This window comes from Homo sapiens, chromosome 16 (genome assembly GCF_000001405.40).
Source record: "Homo sapiens chromosome 16, GRCh38.p14 Primary Assembly".
Lineage (NCBI taxonomy): Eukaryota > Metazoa > Chordata > Mammalia > Primates > Hominidae > Homo > Homo sapiens.
Window position 1 is genome coordinate 62398472 of NC_000016.10, and position 6276 is coordinate 62404747.

The window sequence follows — 6276 nt, forward strand, 5'->3', positions numbered from 1 at the left end:
GCTCCAGATTTTGTAGACTTTACAAGAAGCATGGCATCAGCATGTGCTTCTGGTGAGGGCCTCAGAAAGCTCCCACTTATGGTGGAAAGAGAAAGGCATCACATGGTGAGAGGACAGAAGAATGAGACAGAAGAAGGAGGTGCTAGGCTCTTTTAAACAATCAGCCCACACGAGAACCAATAAGTGAGAACTCACCCATTACTGGAAATACAGTGTCAAACCATTCATGACTCAAACATCTCCCGCAAGGTCCCACCTCCAACACTGGGGATCAAATTTCAATAAAGTATAGAATCTAACGCAGATCTTGAGAAAGATAGATCCTCAAAATTGACTGGTTCTATCTATGCAAGATATTTATGATGTCCCCTTTGTGTTACTGTATTATTATTCATGTGGCTTTCTCTCTATATACATACATACATATATATATATATATATTTTTTTTTTGAGTGGGGACAATGTGTTCCCCTGTTACCTAGGCTGCAGTGCAGTGGTACAATCATAACTCACTGCAGCCTCTAACTCCTGGGCTCAAGCGAGTCTCCCACCTCAGCCTCCTGAGTAGCTGGAAATACAAACATGTGCCACTGTGTCTGACTATTTTTTTTTTTTTTTTGTAAAGGTAAAGTCTTGCTATATTGCCCAGGCTCATCTTGAACTCCTGGTCTCAAGTAGTCCTCCTGCCTTAACCTCCCAAAGTGCTGGGATTATAGGCAAGGGCCACCATGCCTGGCTACTCTTTACATTTTTTTTTTTATCACTAGCACTGTTAGTTTCATTCATACCACTATAATTATCTGTCTTATTTGTTTTGTTTCTTTTAACAATAATGTCAAAGACAGGGGTGATACCTTGTCCTTGTGTCATGGTCTATTAATAGAATGGTATTGAACACTTAATACCTATGAGTTGAGTAAATAAAACAATTCCTGTCTAGGCATGGTGGCTCACGTCTGTAATCCCAGCACTTTGGGAGGCTTAGGTTGGCAGATCACTTGAGATCAGGAGATCAAGACCAGCCTGGTCAACATGCTGAAACCCCGTCTCTACTAAAAATACAAAAAATTAGCTAGGCATCGTGGCGTGTGCCTGTCATCCCAGCTACTCAGGAGGCTGAAGCATGAGAATCATTTGAACCAGGGAGACAGAGGTTGCAGTAAGCCGAGATCACACCACAGCACTCCAGCTTGGGCAACAGAGTGAGACTCTGTCTCCGAAAAAAAAAAAAAAAAAATTATCTAACACACATATTTTCTCTGTAAGACCCATCTTAGCTTGCATGTATGCATACTAGACAGTGTTTTAGCACTATTCTTGGGGGACATTTTAAACAGGTAAATTGCCAAAAAAAAAAAGCACAAAATTTGAAAACTGTGGCACTAAATGGACCATGAAAAAAAACACTTGTTTACACTCTGATAGTGGAAACAATAAGGCAGAGCATCTCCTTGTTCAATCTCAGCTGTGAATATGTACATCAGGCAACACAATTTTTTTTATCACTCTATGCATGTCTATGAGTGACCACAAAAGTGTCCCTAATGAGTAGTGAGTAGACGAATAGAATTTCTAAATAATAAGCATGATCTATAGCTTATCTGAGGTCACAGGGTATTAAATCATGCTATTTAGGATTTGATTCTGAAATTCAGTGGCCTGCATTAAACATGCACAAAATGTATAATAAAATAAAAAAATCTAGCAAAGATATACTCACCATATTATTTTTATTTCCCTAAAGATCATGCTGGTGTGTGTGTGTGTGTGTGTGTGTGTGTGTGTGTGTGTGTGCATGTGTTGACATATTACACTTCAACAATGAGATATGTGACCAATTTTTTTTATTCTGTAAATTAGAAAAAAAAAATTGGAGAATTTTATTCTGGTCTCCTTTGGATATATTTTGTTTACTTTATTTACATAGTTATGATTCTATGTTAGTGTATGTGCAAGTGCTAAGCCTCACTTCTGCCCTCTGAATGTCTGCTGAAGTCTATTAACAATAGACAAATTAGCAGAAAAGCCATACACACTTATTAACGTGCACATAGACACAGGAGTCTTGGAACAATGATACTAAAAAAAAAAAGAAAGAAAGAAAAACCCACTCAAGATAGTTTAGGCTTAAATGCACTATTTATGAGGGAAAGAAAAAATGAGGGACATAGGCAATTTTGAGGAATAGTATATGATTTTCAGAGAAATTGAATGAGGTCAAAGACCAGACAATAATTTTTAAATGATTCTCTGTGGAGGCTGAATGGAACAAGCAGTGGGATGGTGAGGGGCAGAACTGTACTGCAAACAAAGGCTGTCTTATTATGCAGATAAAGTCTCTTACGATAATCTCTCATAGCTGCACTCGAGAATAAATCAAAAGTCTGTCTGGGAATGGTCACAACTTTTCATCTTTCCTCAGGTGCTAAATCTTTCCGGTTTATTTGATGAGATTCCTAGGCAGGAGCTCTTGTATTTCTTTTGGAAAGAAGTTCCCTCAATCAGTCAAGGAAATTCCAAAGAGAACTGGGGGTAGTGAGACAAGAGAAAATCAGAGAGTATTTAGTTTCGAGGCAGCTTCTAAAGTCTTTCCTTTTTTTTTTTTTTTTCATTCAAAGTGTTTAACATGCCAACAAACCATACTGTGGGGTATTATTTACTGAGCCTCAACATCATGATCTAATTTTATACTCTACGTAGAGAATAAAATTATAAGAAATTACTCAGAAATTCATTGCAAGTCAAATTAAGAAAATAACATGATGTGTACTATTTGAACTTTTTTTAGGATGTATATATAGGAAGTATCTAGGAAGATATAGATGGTGGTATAAATAAGGACAAATCATTGTTATATATCTGTATTTATATCAAGATAGATAGATAGATAGGTAGATCTTTACATACACTTAAAATATATGCCTGAAAAATGATTGTAAGGTAGTACCAATATGGTTTGGATGTTTTTCTCCTCCAAATCTTATGTTGAAATATGATTCCCAATGTTGAAGGTGGAGCCGGGTGGGAGGTGATTGGATCATGGAGCGAATCCCTCGTGGATGGTTTGGTATCATCCCCTTGGTGATAAATGAGTTCTTGTCCACTTAGTTCACATGAGGTCTGGTTGTTTAAAAGTCTGTGACATCCCCCTACTCTTTCTCTCTGTCTCTCTCTCTGGCTATGTGATGTGCTGGCTCCCTGTCACCTTCTTCTATGAATAAGAGTTCCCTGAAACCTTCACCATAAAAGCTAATCAAACACTAACATCATGCTTCCCGTACAGCCTGAATAACTGTGAGTGAATTAAATCTCTTTTCCTTATTAATTCCCCAGTCTCAGGTATTTCTTTATAGCAATGTAAGATTAGCCTAACGCAGGTACAAATTATGTATTTGTTTATTGAGATGTTACCCACAATATATCCTGAAAATTCTATGTCAATAAAACATTTATATCTACACTCTCATTTTGATGTCCATATTCTCTTCTACTTTATAAAGGTATTTAATTACTTTTGTCCATTTCCTTTTTTTTTTGACTTTCGATGTGTTTCCTATTACTCCTTTTAGAATTAATATCTTTATTAATACATGTTGAAACATTTAAAGCTTCTTTTCCCCTAGTGGATATGCTGGATCTAAACACATATATAATTTAGGATTTTGATGCGTATTGCTGTATTGCTTTATGTAAACATCTTAACCAATTTTATGCTTATTATAAATGTATAAAAATATATTTTCCAGGGCATAAACCAGATTTTATGGTAAACTAAATCAAATTATCATTTAAAATTTTGAGTTTATTTGACGACTAATGAGGTTGAATAACTTTTATTTCTTCTTTTAATTTTTTTTTTATGAAATCCCCTTTTATGTTTTGACATATGGAGTGCTTGTTTTTATTCCTAATTTGTCAGCCTTTTTTTTGTTCTTAAACGGTATTGTCAGGTTAGTTGGGGTATAATTACCACAGTAAAAGTCACTCTTTTTGGCTTACTGTTCTATGAGTTTCGACAAACTCTTTCAGTGGTGTAAAAATCATCCCAATAAAAATAGAGAATACTTCCATCATTTCAAATAATCCTCCGTGCTCCTTTTTAAATCAACCCCTCCTTTCATGTTTAGCCCATGCAAACATAAAATTTTTTGTTGTCCATACAGATTAGTCCTTACAAGAAAGTCATATAAATGAAATCATACAATAAAGTTTGTCTTTTAGTCTGCCTTCTTTCACTTAGCAAAATGCATTTGAAAATCATCAATGTTATTGTGTGCATCAATAATTTTTTTCTTACTGACTGCCAGATTGATCATTGAGTAGATTTCATTGCAATATGAATTTTAATATATATTATATAAATATAATATATGTAATGTATGTAATATTTAATATATGTTACATAGATGCTATTCAAAAGATTGATTCTACTTTAGGCTTGTACTAGCAAAATGTAAGAATTCTTGTTTAACATCATAGAAAATATGACTAGTTGAACAGGATGCTATATAATTTGGGTCAGAAAATACTAAAAATGTGACATACCTAGTTTGTGTCACCACTTTTCTTGTTGTAATTGTACATTTTTCTTTAAAAATAAGTATTTTATGCTGGAAACCCAATTCATTTGTCTTGTTAGCTATTAAATTCCATTGTTTCCACATGAGCAACTAGTAGATTAGGTCCATGAGCTGTAGCTCTTATTTTCTTTATAATATATTTATTTAGTTATATACTGCATTATTAAACTCTCTCCATTGAATTGCTGATTATTTAGATTATTTGGAAATAGAAAGTGAGAGATTCCAAATTTGTCTAAACTTACAGATACTGATAAAATTTGAGAAACAGTTAAACTGAGAAGTGAATCATATACATGATATATCCTATCATATATATGACATATATGAGAGAGAATATTAGTTGAGCATAAATTACAAAGAAGCAATAAGAAATATGTTTTTATGGAGCCCAAGCTTAGTGGCAGGATAAGAATGAAGATGTGAGGTGGAATCTCTAGTTACATGAGGAAGAAGCATAAGAGACAAAGGGAAGTAAGAGGCAGTTCACCAAGGCAGGGAAATCTTTGATCATATGTTTAAAACAGACAATAATCACACGAAATGGCTCTGTCTCTGGGAGGGGAAGATCTTACATTTTAATAGATAAATATTTAAGTAGCCTGTATAGACCTCTACTTGAGCCTATTTCTCTTCTACTAGATTGGAAAGCTTTCAAAGACAAGAAACACATCTTTTTAAAATACATTTTTTGCTAACATCTATATTGGTAAAGGGGATTTACAGCAAATGAGCACATGATATATTTCCTCCACATCGTGAGTTGGGGGATGTTGGTTGCAGTTGACTTTTTCTATCTGGTTGCTTAGGAACACTTCTTTCTAATTTCACCATTCTTCTCACTATTTTCTTCTCACCCCACCCTAAGAGATTTCTTTATTTATTTAACAACTATTGAGTGTCACGTACTATTTTAGACGCTAAATTGACTTCAAAGGTGAAATTTCACTGAATCTGCATGTTCCAAACTTTCATTAGTTATATTCTACTGCATTCGTGACATAATTTTTGAAATATTAGAGGAGAGTTCATCCTTATTTAGTGCTTTACAAATACTTATTATTTACTTAATAATTTTTAGCTAAAATGTTTATTTAATAATTTTTAGCTAAAATGTTTATTTAAGTGTTTTTAAATGAAATTTTATACTACTACCTGTTATGGAATGAATTGTGTCCCCCTCAAAAAATTAATACGTAATCTTCCTATTGTACATAAACATGATGATTGTGTTTCAACACTCATATGTGAGACATGCCTCTCACTAACGTTATTACAATGTTGGCACATTACCTGTCTGACATTTTCTATATACATATCAGATGTTGAAATCCTAACACCCATTTCCTCAGAATATGACTGTCTGGAGATAGGGTCTTCATTGAAATAATCAAGTTAAAATGAAGACATTAAGGTGGCCCCTAATCCAATATGACTGGTGTACTTATAAGAGAAAACTTAGATGCAGGCACATACAGAGGGTGCCTCTAAATGTATTTAAAGAAAATACATTTCTATTGTTTAAACCATCCAGTCTGTGATATTTTGTTCTGACAGCATTAGACACTAATACTCTACCATAATTGCAAAATCATTTCTACTTGCAATATAAAAATAATTATTAAAAATAAATGAAACTCTACTAAAAATTTAAATAATACCTTAAAGGGCCTTAAAAAATATATTCTTGTACCTC

At 33.9% G+C, this 6276-nt stretch overlaps 1 non-coding gene across 1 annotated transcript; it reads left to right on the forward strand.

Moving 5' to 3' along the window:
- Positions 1 to 5779: 5779 nt before the first annotated feature.
- Positions 5780 to 5883, forward strand: LOC124903803 (small nucleolar RNA U13). The gene has a single exon (XR_007065248.1). It is a non-coding gene; the product is annotated as a small nucleolar RNA U13 (small nucleolar RNA).
- Positions 5884 to 6276: the final 393 nt, after the last annotated feature.